Genomic DNA, 25,327 nt, shown 5'->3' on the forward strand with positions numbered 1-25,327 from the left:
AGTAGCTGGGACTACAGGCGTGTGCCACCAAGCCCCAATAATTTTTTTTTTTTTTTGTATTTTTAGTAGAGACAGGGTTTCACCATGTTGGCCAGGATGGTCTTGAACTCCTGACCTCAAGTGATCCCCCTGCCTCAGCCTCCCAAAGTGCTGGTATTACAGGAATGAGCTACCGGGCCTGGTTCAAGGTGTTTTATAATATACCTAACCACATTATATGTATGATTACTCATATTCTTATGAAGTACTTGATATAAAAATTAAGTATTTTAAAGTATTAATTTATCAGTTCCAACAAATAAAACAGAACTACGTTAACATTAATTTAAGGAATATGAAAATATAGTAATAGCTCTACCTAAGAATATCAGGTCTCCATATTGTCCTTTCCTAAAATATTAGTAACTACTAAAAAGTTATTAGAGAGAAGAGGATTGATTTAAAAAAATGCTATTTATCAAAGATATTAATTCTATTTTATTATACTCCAAATGTTCTTAATTGACTTGTAATTAATATAATGGACTAAAGCAAAACTTATAAGCCATGAATGGAGAGTCCTTTTTCAGAAGCAAGGTAACCCGGTCATTACAATGGTGACTTATACAGAAGAATAATTTCCATTTCAGAGTGAGTGCCATTAGGGGCTGTCCTTACTAGTAAGTTTCTTTGGTAACGGACTTGTTTGATCATAGCTGTCATTATTATAATGGGCAGTGTTGTACGATTATTTGATTCCAACTAATCTTATTCTATCTTTTTAAACCAAATTAACTACTTATATCCACAAAGACAAGTAAGCACTCTGACATTTTCCTAATTTCATACAATGATCATGGAATGCTAAGGATATACTAATTTTTTTTGCTATTTCTCTTTATATAACCTCCATAGCTTGACATAAAATATACTAAAAGTTCCTTTAGTCTCCATAAGCCTAATGATAATGTTCTCAATGTAACTTTCAATTAAGTACAAAATTATTATTTTGAATAGTTTTTAATATAATATTTTCTTATATTGCATCATACAGTGCACAAATGGTGTGTGCTTTTGTTCCCAGACCAAACCGAGGGTCAGGCTGCTATTTTTCGCAGCCCAATAACGAGATGCAGATGAACTGGGGAGAAAGAGAGTTTTTATTTCTGTAACCAGTTACAGGGAGAAGGCCTGGAAATTACAAAGTTTTCCAGAGCTTAAATACCTTCTAAGCTATATGTCTTCATGTAAGTGTGCATTCATCTAAAGACAAAGAAGATTAACTTCTTTTAATTTATAACTGAGGTCTGAGTCCTGAAGGCCTTCTTCTGGAGCCTCAGTAAGTTTACTTAATCTAAATGAGTCTAGGTGCTGGGGTGATTACCCTTTTCTTGTCTCCTGCTAAATCGTAAAGGTTTGGGGAGTTCCTTTAGACCCCAATAAACTTGTTCGTGGAGTTTCTTCAGACCCCCAATAAAACTTGTTCATCCTAAATGGATCCTGTTAAGAATTCCTTTGTTATTTTGTCATGCTTCAAGCCTAGGAAAAGCCTAAGCAAAACTCTTGGTGGGCTCTTTGTTACATTCCAGCCTTTGAATAAGGGCACTGGCTCTATCAGCTTTGAATATATAACTCAACTAGTCAGTCAGTAGTACTGAAACAGTTGTTACGGAGGCCTGCGTTATTGAGATCGGGCCTGCCACACTTTTAAACTTTTTCTGACATGGACAAAGAGAAAAACCAATTCTATAATGGCAGAGATTTCACTGAGTAACAAGCTAGAGTATTCATTAAAAATTGTTGTATTTAACCTATATTTTAAGAAATGTTTTGGAAGTTACTGGCTTTTTTTACTGTTCTCATTAAATTTCTTAAATAAAAAGGAAAACTAAAACCTTCAATCTGAACCTCATTTTTTTAATCTATAGAATATTCTGGGTAAACATAACATACACTTTTTAAAAATTATTCTGAAAGGAAGAGAAAAGTTCTTGAAGCCTTCTCTGAACTGTTTTTTCTCTTCCCTTGTTACAGGTATCCATTTTTCAGCTATATTAATCTTTTAAAACAAAGAAAATGGATTTCTTAAATTCATCTGATCAAAACTTGACCTCAGAGGAACTGTTAAACAGAATGCCATCCAAAATTCTGGTGTCCCTCACTCTGTCTGGGCTGGCACTGATGACAACAACTATCAACTCCCTTGTGATCGCTGCAATTATTGTGACCCGGAAGCTGCACCATCCAGCCAATTATTTAATTTGTTCCCTTGCAGTCACAGATTTTCTTGTGGCTGTCCTGGTGATGCCCTTCAGCATTGTGTATATTGTGAGAGAGAGCTGGATTATGGGGCAAGTGGTCTGTGACATTTGGCTGAGTGTTGACATTACCTGCTGCACGTGCTCCATCTTGCATCTCTCAGCTATAGCTTTGGATCGGTATCGAGCAATCACAGATGCTGTTGAGTATGCCAGGAAAAGGACTCCAAAGCATGCTGGCATTATGATTACAATAGTTTGGATTATATCTGTTTTTATCTCTATGCCTCCTCTATTCTGGAGGCACCAAGGAACTAGCAGAGATGATGAATGCATCATCAAGCACGACCACATTGTTTCCACCATTTACTCAACATTTGGAGCTTTCTACATCCCACTGGCATTGATTTTGATCCTTTACTACAAAATATATAGAGCAGCAAAGACATTATACCACAAGAGACAAGCAAGTAGGATTGCAAAGGAGGAGGTGAATGGCCAAGTCCTTTTGGAGAGTGGTGAGAAAAGCACTAAATCAGTTTCCACATCCTATGTACTAGAAAAGTCTTTATCTGACCCATCAACAGACTTTGATAAAATTCATAGCACAGTGAGAAGTCTCAGGTCTGAATTCAAGCATGAGAAATCTTGGAGAAGGCAAAAGATCTCAGGTACAAGAGAACGGAAAGCAGCCACTACCCTGGGATTAATCTTGGGTGCATTTGTAATATGTTGGCTTCCTTTTTTTGTAAAAGAATTAGTTGTTAATGTCTGTGACAAATGTAAAATTTCTGAAGAAATGTCCAATTTTTTGGCATGGCTTGGGTATCTCAATTCCCTTATAAATCCACTGATTTACACAATCTTTAATGAAGACTTCAAGAAAGCATTCCAAAAGCTTGTGCGATGTCGATGTTAGTTTTAAAAATGTTTATTATTGAAGGATGGGGGTTTTTGAGGGGAGGAATAACTAGATGAATGCCAAATAATAAAACACTTAAGCTTTTAGAGGGAAATACATGAAAACTGCTAAATTGATAAGGCTATAATTTATATTTTAATAGCAATGTGAATATAAAAGTTATTGATCACCACTATTCTAGGGTATTCAAAATTAGAAAATAATTTATGTAGGTTATAAACAATATTTTGCCTATGCAATGTTCCTAAAAAGCTAACTGGAAAAAATATATATATATACAATAGTAATGACAGTGATTTTCCATGTTTACATCTTACAATAATTATAGAGGAGTTTTCAATTAACAACATACCTCCCTCCATAATTTCTATCTAGTCCTACTGTTTTATAATATAATTCTATTATTTTGTATAAGAAAATATAATTCACCACAAAGTACACATTTCTCCTGTCTCCATTCTTGTCCCTTCTCCATCTTACCCTGAGCAAAAGGGAGGGGGAAGGAGCAACTCTTACTTAGTGTGACTGCAGAAAATGTAAAAAAGTCAGAGCTTGAAATTGTCCTTGTGTTTAGGTAGCAAAGAGTAATCATAAAGTGGGTTAGGTACAGCAAAATAATTCAATACTGAACTTGTGCATATTTAATGTATTATGTTTGATATAAACTTCTAGAATAATATTATCTTATCCTTATATTATCAGCATTTGAAATCAAAGCCTTACCTTAGTAACAATAACTCAACAAAGGGGCATGGGTGACGTTGTTATAATTGCTCTCTGTTTACTTAGGAATCAAATTTAAAGCACTAAATATCATAGATTACTCACCACAGTTATACTCTTAACATCTTTTTAAAAGTATAAAATGTATTTCATTTCTGTTAATAAGCTCAGTTATTAACTAAATTGTCTGTGGTATTTTGCACTTCAGTATTTTCCATACCTTTGATTTCAACATTATTTCCCGTTTACTAGACAGAATATAATGGAAATTTTTAGAACTTTCCCTTTACTTTAAAATATTTCTACTTTTCCAATTGGTAGAAATGAACAGGAAAAAAGACTCATATTACACTAATTAATAAATGTACACACATATATATTTTTGTAATTAGTCACTCTACTAGTTCAGTGAGCCAAAGCAATTCCATAAGTTTTTCTTCCATATTTATAAAAGGATTTGAAAACAATAGAACCATGAGTTTGAGAGGATTTTATTTTATTTGAACCAGCAAGGTCATAGACTACCTTTGGGAAGACCTATCATCAACCAAGATCGTTTGAAAAACAATATATACCTTTTTTTAAGTTGTACATTTATGTGCATTGTAAATATTCCTTCCTGATGGTGTGGTTAAGAGTACATTACATCAATTTTATGTATATATAGATCTGTGACAAATTACTCTCAATCTAACAAACATTTACAGAGTTCCCATTTTATACAAGGCATTGAGACATATACTAGATAGAAGATATACGAAATAATAAAATACAGTTTTTTTTCCTGAATATGTTTACAGTCTAAAAGGAGAAACAAGAAAAAATAAAACTATAATAGAAAAGAGCAAACTAAAATCTGGCATGGAAGTTGTTTACACAGTTATGATGGTGCAGAGGAAAAACTGATCGCATCTTGTTTAGAAAAATCAGAAATATTTCACAAAGAATGTATCTAGAACACATGTCAAATACACAGCACTGGGGCAAGAAAAATGGAAGAGCACACTCCAGGTTGTGACAACATCAGGATACAAACTGCACCATGCAAGTATTTGGTGGGGCATGTTCATAAATAGCAATGAGTTTGGCAACTATTTAGAGCAATAGAGGAAAAGGATATTAAAAGAAAAATTGGGCATTTTTGTGGCTGACTTTGAACGTCAGAAAAAAGTCTACAGTCAATTTTATTGCTGACGATGGGTAATCACTGATACTTTTAGCAAAAATATTACAAGTTTAGAGCAAATCTAAACAAAAAAGAAAGAAAAAAAATGGATCTGTCTCAATGCCATCAGAGAGAAAGCAGCGTTATTATTGAGATGATGACTTCCCGTTAGAAAGCAAATCAGTAATCCAGGCAAGAGGTGATGAAGTCCTGAACTTGATTCTAGCAATGGGAATAAAAAGAAAGAAACAGATGAAAGATGGTACGAAGAAGTACAATCCTCAGGTTATAATAAATTATTTAATAAGCAAGCAGTGGGAGAGACATGAGTCTATGAGATAACATCCTTAACCAAAATGAAGAACCCAACAGAAAGGGCCTATTGGTGAAACGGTTACTTCTTTTTTGGGTATGTTAAACACATAAAGATATGTCAGAGCTCATAGATACTAATGACCATGTCTTGCTCAAGCCACACTGACAAGTAGATGAGGTTTCTCTCTGACCTCAAAACTGACAGGTAAACGAGTGTCCCAGCCATCTCTTTTGTCCTCACTTCACTTGACCGCCCAAGGGCCCTTATGCTGAGTTGACAGGCCAAAGCTGGCCATAGTCCCTGTCATTCTCTGTTTACTTCTCTTTCCCTTCTCTTCTCACTTACCAAAATTTAATTCTGTGATTTCTTCATTCAATGACTTTGCTCTAAAGTTAAAATTATCTGTTGAGTTAATTTATTTATACTTATCTCAGACATTTATATATTTGTATTGGGAAACTAAGAGACACAACCATTGAACAACCCAAGGAGAGTGAGGCTCACCCAGATACAGACACTGCCCTCTGATCTGAGTTGGACTGAGACCCAAATCTAGGAAAATAACGCTGTAAGTGACAAAGTCATAGATCCCTTCAGAGCTCAGAGGAGAATCAAGTTTATCATTACTGTGTATGATCCAAAGAACCACAACAAATTCCAATTATTATCACTTCATCTATGTGTTTCCCCTACATGCTGAGGGTACAGAGCATGCCTTCCTTCCTGAAAAAAATATGAATATGAATATTTAGTTATTTTATTTTATTGAGTCAGGGTCTCATTCTGTTGCCCAGGCTGGAGTGCAATGGTGTGATCTTCGCTCACTGCTACCTCCGCCTCCTGGGCTAAAGCCATTCTCCCACCTCAGCCTCCTGAGTAACTGGGACTACAGGCATGCATCACTGCACCCGGCTAAGTTGTCTTTTGTAGAGACGGGGTTTTACCACATTGTCCAGGTTGGTCTTGGACTCCTGAGCTCAAGTGATCCTCCCACCTCAGCCTCCAAAAGTGGTGGGATTATAGGTGTGAGCCACTGCAACTGGCCTATTTTATTTTTCTAGAGACAAAGTCTCATTCTGTTGCCCAGGCTGGAGTGCAGTTGTACAATCACTGCTCACTGCAATCTTGAACTCCTGGGGCTCAAGTGATCCTCTCACCTCAGTCTCCCAAGTAGCTGGAACTACAGGCATGCACCACCACCCCCGGATAATTTTTTTTATTTCTTACTTTTCGAAGAGATGACGTCTTGCTGTGTTGCCCAGGCTGCTCTCAAACTCCTGGCCTCAAGTGATCCTCCCACCTTGTCTTCCCAAAGCATTTGGATTACAGGCTTGATCCACCACACCTGGCCTCTCTTTAATATCTTTAAAGTGGTAGGGTCAGATAGGTTATGTAGAGATTAATCATCTACAATTTGTGCTTTCTTTGAAATTTATGAAGGACAGATTACAATTAACATGATATATTTCTCTGAATACATAGGATTTCAATGAGATTTTTCTCTCATTGAAAAATCCTCCAAGTTACTAATAGCTAAGCATTTTTACAGAAATATATATATATATTTGGCACCTATAACAAATGTAGCAATATAAGGATTTATGTATTTAACCGATAAGGTAGAAAAAGAAAATATAAATATCATAGAAATAGTTAAATACCAGATAAGGAGGAGTTACCTCCTGCTAGGATTTCAAACATACTGGCACTAGAAAATTAAATGAAAATTTTATTTTTGCTCCACTCCTCTAAAACTTATCAAGTGATGAAAGGCATGGAAAAAAGACCAAAGAAAAATAGAAAGTCACACTACTAAAAACTAAATTCACTCCAATACTCTACCAATAGACATACCTATGTAAAAATTATGCTTGAAAATTCACTTCTGCTTGTGAAACATGGTCTTAATTGTAGAACTGGTTTAAGTATATGGATTGTCTGGGTTAACTGAATTTTTTTGATTTTGGTTTTGTTCTGTTTTACAATAAACCCACAGGGTCAAATCTACAGCACAGTTTATCCAAGTCCTGGCAGTCGATGGGTCCATCCTTAAGTAGGGCCAATTTCCATTTTGAATCTCCAAAACCAGTTTCCTTTCCCTTTTGTAGTAATTTTGATTCCCCACCCACCCATCCCCAGCTTGCCCTAAGTGGTATGTCCCTTGTTTATATCAGTTATGTCAGTTCCAAATTTTAAAATTCCCTTAGCACAGCATAATCCCCATATTCACAGGCTCAAAGTTAAGCTTTTCCCTCTGTACCCAGAGAGTCCTGTGTCAAAACTAAATGGAGAATTAATTGGAAGCCAATTACTAGGCAATGCATTGATTTGCTGCACCAAATAGCATGAAAGTCGAGATTATCATAAGCTTATTGCTGAAATGCATTCCTCTATTTCAAGGAAGAAGCCATTTTCTCATGACTTTATACCAGACTATTTTTAACTCATAGGTCAAAGAATTAGGTTTACTGCTTTACAGTACAAAGGAAGCAAGAAAAATATTTCCTTAACATATCCTGAAGTCCTTCAAAAGTAATCCTGCTCAATTCAAAATGTGTCCATATTAATTTGTTTCAGAAAATGTGTTTCTAGACTCTAATAACTAGATAACTAAAATGATTATATTCAGACCTTTATTTTGCCAAAAATATTTCTAAAAGCAAACTAACATTTTTGTCATGAATAAAGTAAATATTTTCTTATGATATTGTGATAATTTTTCTTGTTCTTTTGAATCAATATGCTTTCTCTCATTATTTAAAATGAGGAACTTACTGTTGAGAGAAATATTTTCTAACATTATAATAAATACTGAGTTATTCATACAGAATATCTTCTCTGTACAAAATGTGGCATGCTTGAAGTCGATCTGGGAAGAGTAGAATTTTTTCAAAGAATTTACACACTCTGGTTAGGGCAGAAACTATAAACATTTTGTTTGAGTAAAAAAGATATTATTTTACCAACAGTAACAACAATAAATCTTGTCAAAGCAATCTTTCATCAAAACTTGTTTTTAGTTTCAGTTCCAATTTTTATCGCAGAGTTTCTTCCTCTGCAAGGACACTAAAATTACCTATTGATTTATGTAGACACAGAAAACCAAAGCAATGTGCATAAGAATCACCAAAGATGCTTGTTACAAAGACAAATTCCAGATTTGAAATCAGAAAAGGTTGAAGTTAAATCCTGGTTCTTCTGCTAATCATTAACTTGATGCTAAGCAAATTTCATCTAACCTGCTTTCTTCAGATTAGAGATGAAAGACTACGGAGATAGAGTGAAATAAAGCAAATGCTCTTGAAAAAATGCTAAAAGACTACAAAATAGAAATTTGCATTATTTATCATTATTTTCCATACTAAGGAGTGAGTCAGAGGGCATTTGACACGCAACCTGGTGTTCTGCATTGTGGGTTTCCTGTTGCTGAATGTGGAGAAGAGCCAGTAAGTCATCGATGGCCTTCCGCTCCTGGCTCTCCATGGTAGAACAGTAACTCCCAGTAACCCCAGCCACAGCCACAAATACCACCCTGTGGGTACTCACAGTCTTTCCCTTTGCTCTATACTTCCATCCTTATTACTAAAAGACTGGCATGCTCAAAGGTTGTTTAGCTTTCTAGAAAAATGTAATGCAATTCTTCTACCCTATTAAATTCATAACTGCAATTATTCCAGAAGTAATTTCTTCTATTGATGTATTCAGAGACCTTTTTCCATATATTCTAGATAGGGTATTATTTCAATCCTTTAAACAATAAAGGTGAAACTTTCATTTGAAATGAAAATTCTAAGTTGATGAGAACAAGACTAGAGGTGTAACTGTAGGGTCTATTAAGTATTAGAAAAAATACTACTAATTTATATGCAAAAATTAATACTTAAGAAACTACTCAATATCAATGTCTCCCTGTTGCTTATTTCACTGCATACAGACTCTTGCTGGCTTTTAGGGTCTTCATAACCAAAGTACCACTCTCTGGAAAATCTTACTTCCCACTGTCCTCCTTGGTCCCAACAAATGCTATCTTCTCCAATCTGGTCCCTCTCTCCACTGTCCTCACTATGTGCCTTCCTCATTCTTGTCTCTATTGCCCTTTAGACTTTTTGTTTTCTTCTCCCATGTGAAATGCCCTCTACCTCCTTGATGTTAAGCAACTTATCCTTCAAAGTACAGATTCAATTTCACTTCCTCCTTGAAACTGAATCCATACTGTGCTTGAAGTCAGTATCCCTCAATATTATTTCCAATAATTCCTTATTTGTTTTAAGTATCTCTAATTTCTTCATGAGTGTTTGGTTTTTATACCAACTATAAAGAGTACTGTAAGTTACTTAAAGGACATGTGATTATTTCTGTCCCTTCCACATTTATCCCAAATATTTATCTTCACTTCTATATGTAATAAAAGAAATGCAAATGTGTCAATATCAAAAAGGAAACTGAGAGGTTGCTAAAAATAAAAAAGCAGTGCTTATTTTTCAATGATTAGAGAATACCTTACTGATAATGAAATACATAAAACTCATAGGACACTAATTTTCTGGAAATGTCTATGTATAACGATAAATTTCAAAGATCTGTTTGCTAATTATACATTATTAATCATTTATACAATATATGAATATGCTTTAAATCACCTATTTTAAAGACAATATTTTGGTTATTATTTTAAAACAGATATAAATAATAAATAATCCACTTGGTCATATTAAAATTAAGCTATTGGCTTCCAGCTCACCTAATGTGAAATTACTTTTCTTCATAACTTCCTTACTGGCCCCAGCCCCCTCTGTTTCACAATTTTTGTGTGGATGAGAAGCGGGTAGCATTTTAAAGTAGAGAAATATCTCTGCAATGAAATAGGAATTGCAATATGTTCTTCAGCTCAAAAGGAACAGCTCTTACTTCCTGAGGAATTATAGAACTCACTCCATGTATTTTTAAAAGCTAGAGAAACAACTTATCAGTTTCTTATCAGTTTCACTTAACCCAAGCATCTTAAAAGATCAAATCTTAAAGATATAAAAGATTAGATCTTTTACATTTTAAAAAAAATAGATCTTAAATTTCTTAAAGACTTAAGGCCCATGCCCATTTCACCATCTTATATGATTATGGATGATTATGGTACAAGCACTATCAGGTTGACCAAACATAGAAATGCCAACCCTTTAACACTGCCCAAATTTACAGCAAGCACCTGAGAACCACACCAATCACAGGAAACACACTATATGTTGACTCTAGCAACTGAACTGGACTCCCCTTGTTCTCCAAGAAGCCTGTTTGTCATGGTTGTCCCTCTGTCCACAAACTTGTGCTGTCATTACATATACTACAAAAAAAGGGACTAAAAGGTAAATTGCAAGTTCATAGATTTATTTATTATGTTTCTATTCACTTCAGTGTTTCAGAATATGAAACTGAACTCAACAATGACTCTTTGTGTTAAGCTTTGGGGTTTTTTCCTATTTTATCATCCTATCAATCTAAAGGTTTAAATACTATCTATTCTGCTTGCCATACTTACACAAAAATAACTTCAATTATAAATGCATGCATATATTAGGAATCGACTATCCTTTTCCCTGCTCTTATTAGTATATCATATGCAAAATATTTAGAGGCTCAGGTTGAAGAATAGATTTCTTATATTTGTATTTTCTATTGAGTATTGTCTGAACGAGACTTGTGTATGTATGCTATTAAACCTGAGCCAAAATTTAAATGCATTTTCTTTCTCAAAATCTTCCCATTAATGAAAAATAATATGTAGTAGTTTTTTTATTTAAAAAAAGACAAGAAAAAACAGTCAAGTTTATTTTAACAATTTTAATACCAATTGCCCAAACTATAGAAAATGTTCAAACATGAATTTTAGTAGTCTATGAAGTATAATCTACTCAGTTTGTTGCTGTTGTTGAGGGTGGAAAAAAATAAATGTATGGTGGAATTTAATGTTGCTTAGCCCAAAAATATAGTATAATATGAAATAAACCATGTTCTTCAAATAACGAGTGTTGGCTTTAACTTAATGATTTCAAAACATCCTATAGCATCCTATTAAGAAAACTACAAAGGAAGAATAATGGTGTGCAGTAGACATGAATTTTAAGTGTCCACGTGTTTGTCCAAAGTGTTTGTGGCAGCCTGAACTTTAAAAGGAGTCTCCTTCATTTGACCATGAAACCTACCATAACTTCACCTCTGGTCCTTCACCTCACTTCACTAAAATCAAAAGAGTTAGCATTCTCATTTTTAAAACTCAACATAGAACAAAGACAATTCCTTTTATTTTTCTGAAATTAAAATTCAGTAAATGTAGTTACTGAAATATCATTATTAATAATATTCTAGACAATTCCTTTTTTAATTTTTAAAAAATAAGTAGACATGGTTACTGAAATATTGTTATTAAATAATATTCTGAGTTCCAATCTTGCAAGAACAGTTTTGAATGTAATCACCTAGAATTATGTATTAAATTTTGAGAAATAGTTTCCTTCAACTTTTCCTTCCCAAAATAAATCTTGACAGAGACAAAACGAAAAAAATTGTTGGCATTTAAGAGAATGAGAAGAAAAGGTTATAATGAATGCTCTTTGAATAGGTATGTTTGCAGGTATTCAATAGAGAAAGTTATACCTTCATTAATTATTAAGGGAACTATGTTTAAAAAAACTATTTTAAAGCAAATCTTTGCACCTATTCCCAAATATTTGTGAACAGGTAATTGTACTTCCTCGAGAAAAGTGAGTTCTTTTTGCTTTTATGTTTCTTTGTATCCCCCTTTTCTCCTCTCTCCTCCTCCTCCTTTTTGATTACAGTATCACTCTAGTATATACAGCTGCGATTTAGAGGGTGGCGCTTTGGAAGGTTCTTGCGACTTGATTGCTGAGATGTTAAATGGACTATTTACCTCTGCAGGCACAAAACCCACAACCACATCTGCCCCGTAGCGCTAGCGTTGGCGGTAGTGTTCTTTCGAAGGAGGTTGTGGGCTTGGAGCTTAGAGCATGCGCAGTAACAGGAGCCTCACGGATTCCCTAACTACGCTGACCCCTACCCTTCACATCAGCGACTGGGTTCATGCAGAAGTAAACTGACTGTAGAATAACTGGACTGTTTATTGCCTATTACTCAGCTTGCTGGTAACCATTATGCCGTACAGTGGTTCTCTTTGTTGAATCTTCAGAGCAAATTGTATCTTGTACGTTGTCAGCTTAGCTCAGCTGAATTTAATTTTGTGATACTAGCACAAATGTAATACCACGTTTACCTGTTTAAAGATAGAGGTGTCCATATCACGTCTTGACACAGCTCCAGAAACATCCAACAGGTGTCAACTAAGATAGAAGCTTTCTAGTTGACCTATACCCCCCGCCAAAAAACCTCTCTTTTTCTTTTATTCAGGAATAGGATTTACAGTACAGGTTTTTCTAACTTTTGTCCAAGTATTCGGGGAAAAGAATAAGACAAATGATTTCTTAGGGACATGGCAGGAAACAGGATTTGGATAAATTTCTTACTCAGAAAAAATTCCACCAAACTTTTAAGAATATTTTCCTCTTTTTTTCTATTTTTTTTCTTTTTCTTGTGTAATGATTTGTAATTTGGCGAACCTCAAACTTTCACTTCAAGTTATCCTCGTTCACTGGAGTTCCCGGATCTAATGCTTGTTTTATTCCACAAGTTCTAAAAAGTTCTCAGTTAATGTCTTCAAATACAGCTTCTACCTCATGTTCTATCTCTATCTCTCTTCTTCTATAATCCCAACTGGATAAATATTAGACCGTCTTATTCTTTCCTTCATGTATCTTTTGTATTTTCTATTTCTTTATAACTCTGGGTTTCAATTACAGACAATTTTGTGTAAAATCGTCTGTTGAGTTTTACATTTTCATTATATTTTTCATTTCTAGAACTGTTGGGTTTTACACATCTATTAACTCTTTACTCACCATTCTATATATTTGTTTGAAACATTTTAAACAAGCTTGTTTTTATTTTTTCAGTTTTACAGTTCCTACATATGAAGACTTTTGAGCCTTAATATTGTTTATACTTGCTCTCATTCACAGTGTCTTGTTTCCCTATATATTTATTGACTTTTTTCTTTTTACTTTGATCTTTCTTTTTTTTTTTTGACAAAGTCTCACTCTGTTGCCCAGGCTGGAGCGCAGTGGCACGATCTTGGCTCACTGCAACCTCCGCCTCCCTGGTTCAAGCGATTCTCATGCCTCAGCCTCCTGAGCAGCTAGGATTACAGGCATCCGCCACCATGCCCAGCTAATTTTTGTATTTTTAGTAGACACGGGGTTTTACCATGTTGGCCAGGCTGGTCTCAAGCTCCTGACCTCAGGTGATCCACCCACCTCGGCCTCCCGAAGTGCTGGGATTACAGGCGTGAGCCACTGCGCCTGGCCTCAATTTTCTCATTTTCATTTGAATTTATCTGTGGAAATTATTTGAGGCCTGAGATGAAAGTGGATTTCTTCATGGGAGGATTAGCATTTGCTTCTGTCAGGTGTTTGTGCACATTATCAGTCTGTATCAATTTAAACTATATCACTGGCTTCAGGTTTTTTGCTTGAGTGTGTGTGTTTCATAATACCAGGTGGTGTGAATTCTGGATACAAACTTGAATAGAAGCCAAATCGTGGTTGTGACTCTTCAGGAGAAATTCTTTCCACCTCTCATGAGAATAAAGGTTGAATAATCAAGTTTCAAGATAGGAAATTTTTTGTTCTGTTCCAGATTAATGTCAGAGTTTATTTCTAATGCATTCTTAAACTGGGAGTATAACACTTTGGGGTCCCAGTTTTGTTTAGAAGGAATCTCCTGATATAATCTTGAACTTGAGTGGGTCATAGGCTTTGTCTTCCATCCGTGAAACCTTAACAACTAATGCTTGAGACCTTCTGTGCTCAGCAAATACCACTAAAGCAAAAAACCAATGTCAGTGCTTTACTTATCTCTCATGGTTTCTGCCTTAAACTTATTTAAGTAAGCAGGTCGTAGCTGTCTAGAAAAAAAGCTCTAGAAGTACCAGAAGAATAAGGAGCTACCAAAAATAAATTTAACTACTTCTTACTCACTGTCGGCCCAGCATTTACTTTTTTTTAAAGTAGCCACAAAAAATCTTTCTTACATCAAAACAACCTTTCAGTGTTGATTTTAAGTAACGTAAACAAGCATTCATGTTTATTGCATAATCAATTACTACCACCAAACTTGAGGCCTAAGCATTTAAAGAACAGGGATTTGCACTACTATTTGCTGCCCTCTGCAGGTGAATCTAAAACTCACAGACAATATTGGAATTCTGGAAAAAACAAAAACTTCCGTATTCTAATGCAGATGTGCATTAGTGAACTTGAAACAAGACCGTTCATGAAATTGCATGAAATTGCAAAGTATTTCTATGTCCATTTCATATATGCCATATAACTGGGAAATTTTACATGTTGGATGATTCAGAAGTAGGTATTTCTCTTTTGAGAAGGTTAGCAGTAAAAAGAAGAGAAATATGTTTAAGATAGAAGTTATGTGTTGGTTTGATTTTCATCCTTAAATAATGGTGTAGTTGAACATATACGTCAAATTGTAAATCATTACTTGATTGGTATCGTATCATTTTTTCCTTTAAATTCCTTTTCATTAATTGACTACCCCTCATTCAAGGAAACTCTTCTGGAATAAGTGCAAATATCAGCCTTCAAGTTCAAAAGCCTTGTAAAAGATTGTATATCTCATTTAATTCCTCCAACTATTAAGTATCAAAGTGTAGGTATGGATAATAGAAACCCCCAGAATATATTAAGGACTGTAAAAGTGAACGGTTTCTGAGCCTACTTTACTTATGGGACCCTGAGCAACTGAAATGTTCTATTCCACAGAATATTTCCACATAATTTTCTTTTCTAGGTGAATATAGGTTCAATTTCTTAAATATAGCCACATAGGATATAGGGGCAGTGAAAGATCTGATGCAGCCCCAGTGAGCATCCTATGGCCTGGTTTGGCTTGGGAATTCTGAAAGATTCCAGAAACAATGTAAAAGTTGGAGAGACAGACAGAGAGAGAGCACGTGTGTGCACGCCCATTAGCTGTCCTGCAGAGGCCCTCTGGAGTGCCAGAAGTCACAACAGCAGATCACATCCTGGTTGTAATCACATCTTGATATTGATGTCAGCATGGAAAGAGAACTCATGAGTACCATATGCAATGAGTTATATTTCAAAGATTACAACACAGCATTGAGACAGCTCAAACAACAAAAGTTGTTTCCTAAACCTAAGGTGAAAGAGTGTTATGGAGAACAGATTCTGAATTTCAGTAAAGTGAAACACTCAGAAATCCACGGAGCAATGAAGTTTACTTGAAAATAATTAAGCTTTATCCTTCAGACAGAAAAGGGTATTGAGATAGAGATTTTATCCAGATGAAAGAAAAACATTACATTTTTCACATCAGCATTTGTGACGGGAAAAAAATAGTGAAAGATTCAAAAGAAGTTTCTGAAGAAATTTTGCCAGCACAATCACTTGGCTTTTGTCCATCCTTTCACTAGCATCTTACTCTCTGTTTATGTCTGGTGTTCATAATTTCTTCTGTTCTACCTAGCCCCTCCCTTAGTTTGGATAACTTTCCCCTCCAAAGCAAAGTACCACAAGAACAGGTATTATATCTATTTTGCTTATCATTTGTCTCAAATACCTAGAATGGCCCTGGCTTATGGTACATGCTTGATAAATACTTATTAAAATGACATAAAAGTTTTTTTAAAACTTGATTCCTAAAGCACAGATGAGAAACCAATCTTTTGATAGAAATATTGAATTAAGGCAAGATATTACTTTTACCTTCTCTTTCTCATTAGTGGACTGAATACGTTTTGTGGATACTTGGTTTATGGCAGTTACTAGGACCCAACTTAGAAAAGAAAGTCACCATTTGTCAGCCTAAAGGACAGGCAGATTTTATCCTTTTCTTAGTATTGTAGTTTAAATGTCATAATTTACTATTTTCCCTTTAGAATGTCCCTTTTATCCTCAATCTCTCTGACTTTATCATCACTAGGAAGAGTGAGAAAGGAGTCAGAGATTTCTTCATTAAACAGAAGAAGAAAAGGACAGATTCCAAATTACCGTAAGGTAATAGCTTAGTATTTCAAACAAACATTGTTATTTGCTGCCCCTTACTGGTAAGATAATACAATTGCTAAATCACATTTTAAAAGTGTAGTCTTTGGCCACTAAAATCTTATTTTGCAGGAAGTAGCTCTTTTACCACAACAAGAATTGTACCAGTTGGTTGTGTCAAATAACAGAACACCGTATGGGAGGAGTTGCTTAATAGAGTCCATTTTCAGGCCATCTCTTGGATAATTTACAGAAAAGTTAAGTAGAAAAAGATATTAAAGTAAACCTCATATATATAAAGGCATCCTCCCTTGCTTGAAAACTTGAAATTTATCACTGACAACAAATACTATCAGTTGCTTTCTTGAAGTAAAAAGTTCATTTCATTCATTTTGGAGAAAGTATTTTCCAAATGCACACATCTGAATAACCATGGTCTGTCTGGCAGTCACTCTTTCAAGTTAAAAAAAAAAAAATTCCATGGTAAGAAGCAGATAATTCAGTTGCAATTCAAACTAGATCCCTAGTGATTTTCTCAAAATAACCATCATCGTACTCATTGTTCAGCAAAAGTGCTTCATGCACACTTCCCATGTCATCACACAGAAACATTAGAAAAGGGCAGGACTGAACTGCTGGAAAATGCCTTAGTGGGTGCTTTAGAATAAACCAGTGTTCTGAGAGTTTCCAGAACTGTGGAGTTGGGCCTTTGGATGCAGAAACAGCAGTTCTGCCCTGGTCTCTATTACTGGTTATTGGGCCCAGGGATTCTGGTTATAAGAGTGATGTTTTTTTGCTTCTCATGATAGGTTAGCTAGCCATGGGGGACTTTAATTTGAGAGCAAAATGGCCTTAGCTTTACCAAGAAGGTATCCAGAACTATAGGATAACAACCTAATGTGTGGTTTTTAGTAGCCTAACTTCAGTAAACAGCATATAGATCCTGGGACTGCGTTGAAATAATCCCAAGACAGTGTATCCCAAGAAAGTGTATACGAAGGACCTAATTTTTGGAAAGCTGCAGTCAGATGACAATTCCAAGCAGAGACGTGGAAAATTCTGTACTGTATCAGATATGCTTAGTGTCCTTCCCACCTGAGAGAAGAGAAACAACTCTCTCCTCTTCCCTTCCCAGTAAACTATTAGAAAGAATAATACTAGTCGTGCACAGTGGCTCACACCTTTAATCCCAACAGTTTGGGAGGCTGAGGCAGGCAGATCACTTGAGGTCAGGAGTTCGAGACCAGCCTGGCCAACATGACAAAACCCCATCTCTAGTAAAAATGCAAAAATTAGCTGGGTATGGTGGTGCATGCTTGTAGTACCACCTACTCGGGAGGCTGGGGCAGGGGAATGGCTTGAACCTGGGAGGCAGAGGTTGCAGTGAACTGAGATCCCACCACTGCACTGCACTCCAGCCTGGATAAAAAAGCAAGGCTATGTCTCAAAAAAAAAAAAAAAAAAAAGAATACTGTCTTCCCTTCCTCATTTTCAGCCAATTCACTCAAACTTCATCCCCTACTCCCCACTGAAAACAGTAAAATAGAATATAAAGCCATCAATGGCTTTCTAACTGAAGCACAATATAGACTTATTTTAATCCTCATGTTGCTAATTCATTTCAATCAAGCCTCTTCTCAAAACTCATTTCCTAAGACAGGCTTTCCCTGACCACCCTAACTAAAACAGTACTCATTATGGCTCTGTTGCTTTCCCTGACATTATCCCTTTTTTACTTCTATCATAGAGAATTTCAATTATAGAGAGCCAACAATGCCAATCATTCACACGTGGTCAAGAATAGCGCTTATGCCCACCAGTCAGACTAGAAAACCCTATGATTCATAAATCATTGGGAATAGTACATGGAAAGGTCTTGTCTCAATGAAAGGGATTAATTAGCACTAGTCTAAGTATTGAGCTTCTCTCATCAAAGAAATCTTATATTCGAGACCCAAAAGGTCAAACTGTTTTCAAGTAACATAGCCGTAACTCAGAACAAAGCTTAAAAATTCTTATAGGAATGCAAAAATATTCAACACCCAACGAGGTAAAATTTACATCATCTGGCAACCCATAAATAATTATTAGGCCTGGTGAGAAGTGGGAAAATAAGTCATTCAATCAAAACCAAGCTAGAATGGTCAGCACATGTTAGAATTAGCAACCAACAATATTTTAAAAGTTATAGTTGTATTCTATACATTTGAAAAGTTCAATAGAGATGTAAAATATATTTATTAGACCCAAACCAAAGTTTTAAAGGTTAAAACTACAATGTGTAAAATGAAAATGCTGAATGTAGTTAATGGCAGATTAGCATTTCAGAAGAACAGATTGGAAGATTAGTAAGTTTGAATATACAGCAATAGAAACTATCCAAAATAAAACCACAGAGAACAGGGAATTTTTTTGTAATAAACAGATCTGTGAGCTGTCACATAATTGAAACAGACTAATGTACACATATCTATAAGTGCCTAGAGGACGTTTCAAAATGGGGAGAAAGAAAAATTATTTGAAGAAATACAACTGAAATTTTTCTAAATTTGATGAAAACTATAAAGCCACAGAGCCAGGAAGTTCAACAAACCCCAAGCACAAGAATCATAAAGGAAAATACACCAAGGTACATTACAAACAAATTGCTCAAAACCAGGGTAATCCTTTTTTTTTTTTTTGAGAGGAGAGTAGGCTTTATTATTCTTTATATTTTACAAATGAAGAAACATCCATTCCTCAGTCAGTGAGTCAATTGAACAACATTTATCAAATATCTGTTCATTCATGATACAATGTGAATGTATCATGGCAGGCCACACCTGCAAGTCTTTGGAGACATGAGTGTAACTGTAAATATTAAGGGTCTATAAAAAGTCAATGAATCAATTAGAGATAAAATTCTGTTTCATTAAGATGAATTCTTAATGATGGATTCAACCAACCACATTTTATTCTTTTATTCTGTGAGTTCCTTTCAAAAAAAAAAACTTATTTTGGGTTCGGGTGTACACTTGCAGGTTTTTTATACAGGTGAACTCGTGTCACAGGGGTTCATTTACAGATGATCTCATCGCCCAGGTACTAAGCCTAGTACCTAATAGTTATTTTCTCTGCCCCTCTCCCTCCTCTCACCCTCTACCTTCAAGTAGGCCCCAGTGTCTGCAAGGCAATCCCAAGCAAAAAGAACAAAGCTGGAGGCATCACACTACTTGACTTCAAGCTATACTACAAGGCTACAGTAACCAAAACAGCATAGTATTGGTACAAAAGCAGACACACAGACCAGTGGAACAGAATAGAGAGCCCCAAAATGAGGCCACACACCTACGACCATCTGATCTTCAACAAAGCTGACAAAAATAAGCAATGGAGAAAGGATTCCCTATTCAATAAACAGTGCTGGGATAACTGGCTAGCCATAGGCAGAAGATTAAAACTGGACCTCCACCTTACAACATACACAAAAATCAACTCAAGATGAGTTAAAGACTTAAATGTAAAACCCAAAACTGTAAAAGACCTGGAAGACAACCCAGCCAATACCATCCTGGGCATAGGAACGGACAAAGATTTCATGACAGAGATGCCAAAAGCAATCACAACAAAAGCAAAAACTGACAAATGGCAAATGGGATCTAATTAAACTTAAGAGCTTCTGCACAGCAAAAGGAACTATCAACAGGGTAGACAGACAACCTACAGGATGGAAGAAAATATTTGCAAACTATGCATCTAACAAAGCTCTAATACCCAACATCTATAAGGAATGTACAAAAATTTACAAGAGAAAATCAAACAACCCCACCAAAAAGTGAGCAAAGGACATGAAGAGGCACATTTCCAAAGAAGACATACATGCGGCCAACAAGCATATGTAAAAAAGTTCAACATCACTGATCATTAGAGAAATGCAAATTAAAACCACGATGAGATACCATCTCACACCAGTCAGAATAACTATTATTAAAAAGTCAAAAAATAACAGATACTATCAAGGTTGCAGAGAAAAGGGAACTCTTATACACTGTTGCTGGGGGGTGTAAACTAGTTCAACCATTGTGGAAAGTAGTGTGGCAGTTTCTCAAAGAGCTAAAAACAGAACTACCATTTGACCCAGCAATCACTTAAATAGTGTCTAAGTTCATTCACTTAGATAGTGTCTGTGGCTGCTTTCACATTATAACAGAAGAGTAGGATTTAGAAGGAAATTGGCACTAGATGCCAATATTGGATATAAAAACACCACTAAAGCAGTACTTAGAGGAAAATCTATACTACTAAGTGCCATTATTAAAAAAAGAGAAAGGGCGGAGCGCAGTGGCTCACGCCTGTAATCCCAGCTCTTTGGGAGGCCAAGATGGGTGGATCACTTGAGGTCAGAGTTTGAGACCAGCCTGGCCAACATGGTGAAACTCCATCTCTACTAAAAATAGAAAAATTAGTCGATCGTGGCAGCAGGCACCCAAAATCCCAGCTACTCGGGAGGCTGAAGCAGAAGAATGGCCTGAACCCAGGAGGCGGAGGTTGCAGTGAGCCGAGATTGTGCCATTGGACTCCAACCCGGGCGACAGAGTGAACGTGACTGTCTCAAAAAAAAAAAAAAAAAAGAAAAAGAAAGAAAAAGAAAAGCATCTTGAATAAACGATTTCAGCTTGCACTTTAGGAGTAGTATAATTTGACACAGCCTCTAGGGCCCACAAAGCCTAAAGCCTAAAATATTTACTATCTTCTCTTTAAAAAAAAGTTTACTGATGCATGATATAGAATATTAGAATTTGACCTAATAGATATTTATAGAGTATGCCATCCAACAATAGCATAATGCACATTCTTTTTAAGTGCACATGGAACACTTATCAAGAGTGACTGTATTCTGAGCCATAAAACAAGTCTCAATTCAAACGGATTAAATCCACACAAAATGTGTTCACTAGTCATGATAAAATCTAATATCAAAAAGTTATCTGGAATATTCTCAAACATGTGGAAACTAATTGATACAACTCTAAATAACTTAGAAGTTAAAGAAGAAAACTAAAGAGAAGTCAGAAATTATTTTGTATTGAATGTGAAAACAGAACATATCAAATTTTGGGGAAATGCCAGTAAAGTATTACTTAAGAGGAAATTTATTATAAGAGCCAGTATTAAAGAGAAAAAGGTCTCAAATAAATTACTTTAGCTTCCACCTTAAGAAACTATTTTAAAAGATTAAATTAATTCAAAGTAATAGAAGAAAGGAAATCATAAATACCAGAGCACAAACTAATGACATAAGAAAGAGAAACATCAATGAAACCAGAAGTTGGTTATTTCAGAAGATCAATAAACTTGATAAACCGCTAGCCAGATAGATCATGAAAAAGAGAGAAGATACAGTGAGAGAGGGGACCTCATAAAAGAATCTACAGTTACTAAAGAATAATAAGGAAATACGAACAACTTTATGCCTATAAATTTACACCTTAGATGAAGTGAAAAAAAAATCTTGAAAGACAGAAACTACCAAAGCTCACTCAAGAAGAAATACACAACCTAATAACCCTATATCTATTAATAAATTTGAATCTATAGTTTAAAATCTTCCCATAAAGAAAACCCCAAGCCACTTTGCTTCACTGTCAATACTACCGAACATTAAAGGAAGAAACAATACGAATTCCTCACAAGCTCTTCTAGAGAACTGAAATGAAGAGATGTTCTAATCACTTCCTACTCACCCTGTTCGTTAAGGAGGAGTCCCCACCCTGAGTAGAACAAGATAGCCAAACACACAACACCTAACACTGTACCGATGAGACTAAGAAATTAAGAGATTAAGCTTAGTCACATATACAGTACTCACAGGCCAGGGAAGATGATACTGCAAGCCACATGGCCACATGAAGCTTGCACTCAGCAAAAGAGTAAAGCAGAAACTGTGGGAGGCAGGCCATGTAGGGAAAACGGGGTGGGGTGACCACTGGTTCCTATGGGAGGATGTGATTGGCTTCTTTGAATAATTTTACAAGCTGACAGGGAAATAAAACCTCTTAGGTTGAAGACTAGGTAGAGTGCAATTGGTCCAGCTAATAGAAGAACTAGCTGGGCAGAGAACCTTTCACACTGGTGGGGGGCAAATCTGATAAGAGCATGAGAACACACACCTAGGCCTTGGAAGCCCCGGAGGCTCGAAGATGTCAGGGCAACCCATGGAATCTCAGGCCTCACAGTATAAGGGAATGCATACCAATTCATTCTATGATGCTAGCATTACTATGACAAAAAAAAAAAAAAGACATTACAAGGAAAAAAACTATGTGCTAATATTTCGCACATAGGTTTAAAATTCTGAACAAAATTTTATCAAATTAACCCAACAATATATAACAGAAAATGCACCATTGTTTCTTGGATTGTTTGTTTGTTTTCTGTTGCCCAGGATGGAGTGCAGTGGTGCAATCTCGGCTCACTGCAACCTCTGCCTCCCAGATTCAAGTGATTTTCCTGCCTCAGCCTCCCGAGTAGCTGGGGTTACAGGCACATGCCACCACACCCAGCTAATTTTTGTATTTTTAGTAGAGACAGGGTTTCACCATGTTGGCCAGGCTGGTCTCAAACTCCTGGACTCAAGTGATCCTCCCACCTCAGCCTCCCAAAGTGCTGGGATTACAGGTGTGAGCCACCCACCTGACTCACCATTGTTTTTCAAGTGGGATATTTATCCCAGAAATGCAAGGTTAGTTTAACATTAAAGAATCAATCAAAGTTTTAAGAATTGTATGTTCATCTCAATAGATTTGACAACACCCATTTCTGATTTAAAAAATAAATAAATAAATCTTAGTCTTAGCCCAGTGGCTCACGCCTATAATCCCAGCACTTTGGGAGACCAAAGCAGACAGATTACTTGAACCCAGGAGTTTGAGATCAGCCTGGGCAGCATGACGAAACCCAGTCTCTACAAGAAATTCAAAACATTAGCCTGTCATGGTGGCACACACCTGTAGTCCCAGCTACTAGGGAAGCTGAGGTGGAAGAATTACTTGAGCCCAGGAGGCTCAGTGAGCTGAGGCTGTACCATTTCACTCCAGCCTGGGCAATAGTGAGACCTTGTCTCAAAAAATAAAATTAAATTAAATAAATAAATAAATAGTAATCAGATTAAAATTTTTTAAAATCTTGGTAAAATAGAAATAGAAGAGAAATCTTCGATCAGATATAGAGCATTTATTAAAAATCTATAACTAACATCATACTTAATGGTGAAAGATTGAATGCCTTCCTCCTAGGATCAGGAAAAAAAATCACAAATATTTCTACTTCTATTCAACATTGTGCTAGAGGTTGTAGTCAGTGTGAATAGGCAAGAAAAAATAAATAAGAGGCACCTGGTTTGAAAAGAAAGAAGCAAAATTCTCTTTATTAGCAGTTGTGAGTAGATTATAAATTAATAGAAACCCAATAAAATCTTCAAAAAATTTATAGAACAAATAATTTATCAAGACCATGGGATAGAGAAACAATACACAAAAACTGATATTTCTATAATCTCTAAACCACAGATGGGCATAACACATTTGCCAATTATATATAGAATAAAAAACTTGTATTCAGACAGTATAAAGAAACTCAATAGTAAGAAAATGAACAACTCAGTAAAAATTGGCAAATGATTTGACCAGATACTTTATCAAAGAAAATAGCAAATGGAAAATAAGCATATGAAAAGATGGTCAGCATCATTAGTTATCAGGGAAACACAAACTAGAATCATTGAGATACAACTCTACATCTATTAGAATGGCTATATTTTAAATAAAATTAAAAACTGATCATATCAAGTGTAGGAGAGAATGTGGATGAACTGGAATGCTCTTAATACTGGTGGGAATAATAATAGTGGGAATGTGGGATAGTACATACACTTTGCAAAACAGTTTAGGCAGTTCAGTTTCTTTAAAAGTTTGTCATACACCTACTCTATGATCCAAACGCTCCACATTCCACCCAAGAGAAATAAAAGCATATATACATACAAACACTGGTACATGAATGTTGATAGCAGTTTTATTTGTAAAAGCTAAAAAGTGGAAACCAAATTCCATCAATAGGTAAATTTGCACTAAAATGGAATGAACCATTGATAAGCACTCCCATATGGCTGAATCTCAATATAATTATTCTGAGTAAAAGCCAGAAGAAGAGTACATACTATTTTATTCATACATACAAAATTTAGAAAATGAAAACTAACGTGTGGTAACAGCATGGAAGTGGTCTCCTGGGGTTGGGGACCAGTAGGGACCAGCAGGAAGGATTACCAAGGGGCTTCAGAAAATTTTTATGGATAATGGATACATACGTTCATCACGTTCATGGTCTCATGCGTGCACACATACATCAAAGCTTAGCAGACTGTACATGTTACATACATATAGTTTATTGTGCATCCGTTATACTTCAATAAAACTTTTTTTAATAGGCATTAAAAATAAGCTGGGTGGTTTGGCTTCTCTGAGCTGAGCTTTGTTGGTCAGCTGGCAGCTGGCTGGTCTAGGATGGCCTCAGCTGAGATGACTTAATTCTGTTCCGTGTAATCTATTATTGGCCAACAAGCTAGCCTGAACTTTGTCACACTGTGGTGGCAGTGTTGCAAAAATGAGAAAGCAACATTGTATAAAAGAGTAAGCAGAAAGCACACAAGGCTTCTTGAGGACCATACTCAGAACTGGTATAGTGTTTTCTCTGCTGCCTTCTATTCATCAAAGCAAGTTATAAGGCTAGTCCAGGTTCAAGGGATGGGGAAAAATACCTCTTTATGGAAGGAGCTGC

At 35.8% G+C, this 25,327-nt stretch overlaps 1 protein-coding gene across 6 annotated transcripts in view; it reads left to right on the forward strand.

Annotated features, from left to right (window-relative positions):
- The window catches only part of HTR1F (5-hydroxytryptamine receptor 1F), a 201,134-nt gene extending 195,989 nt beyond the window's left edge, over positions 1-5,145 (forward strand). For all 6 annotated transcript variants that reach the window (NM_001322208.2, NM_001322210.2, NM_001322209.2 and 3 more), the window contains one exon: positions 2,014-5,145. In NM_001322208.2, coding sequence (NP_001309137.1) covers positions 2,056-3,156 — 1,101 coding nt within the window. In that variant the 5' untranslated portion in view covers positions 2,014-2,055 and the 3' untranslated portion in view covers positions 3,157-5,145. The remainder of the gene's footprint in view (positions 1-2,013) is intronic.
- The last annotated feature ends 20,182 nt before the right edge of the window (positions 5,146-25,327 follow it).

Source organism: Homo sapiens, chromosome 3, assembly GCF_000001405.40.
Source record: "Homo sapiens chromosome 3, GRCh38.p14 Primary Assembly".
In the NCBI taxonomy this organism is placed as follows: domain Eukaryota; kingdom Metazoa; phylum Chordata; class Mammalia; order Primates; family Hominidae; genus Homo; species Homo sapiens.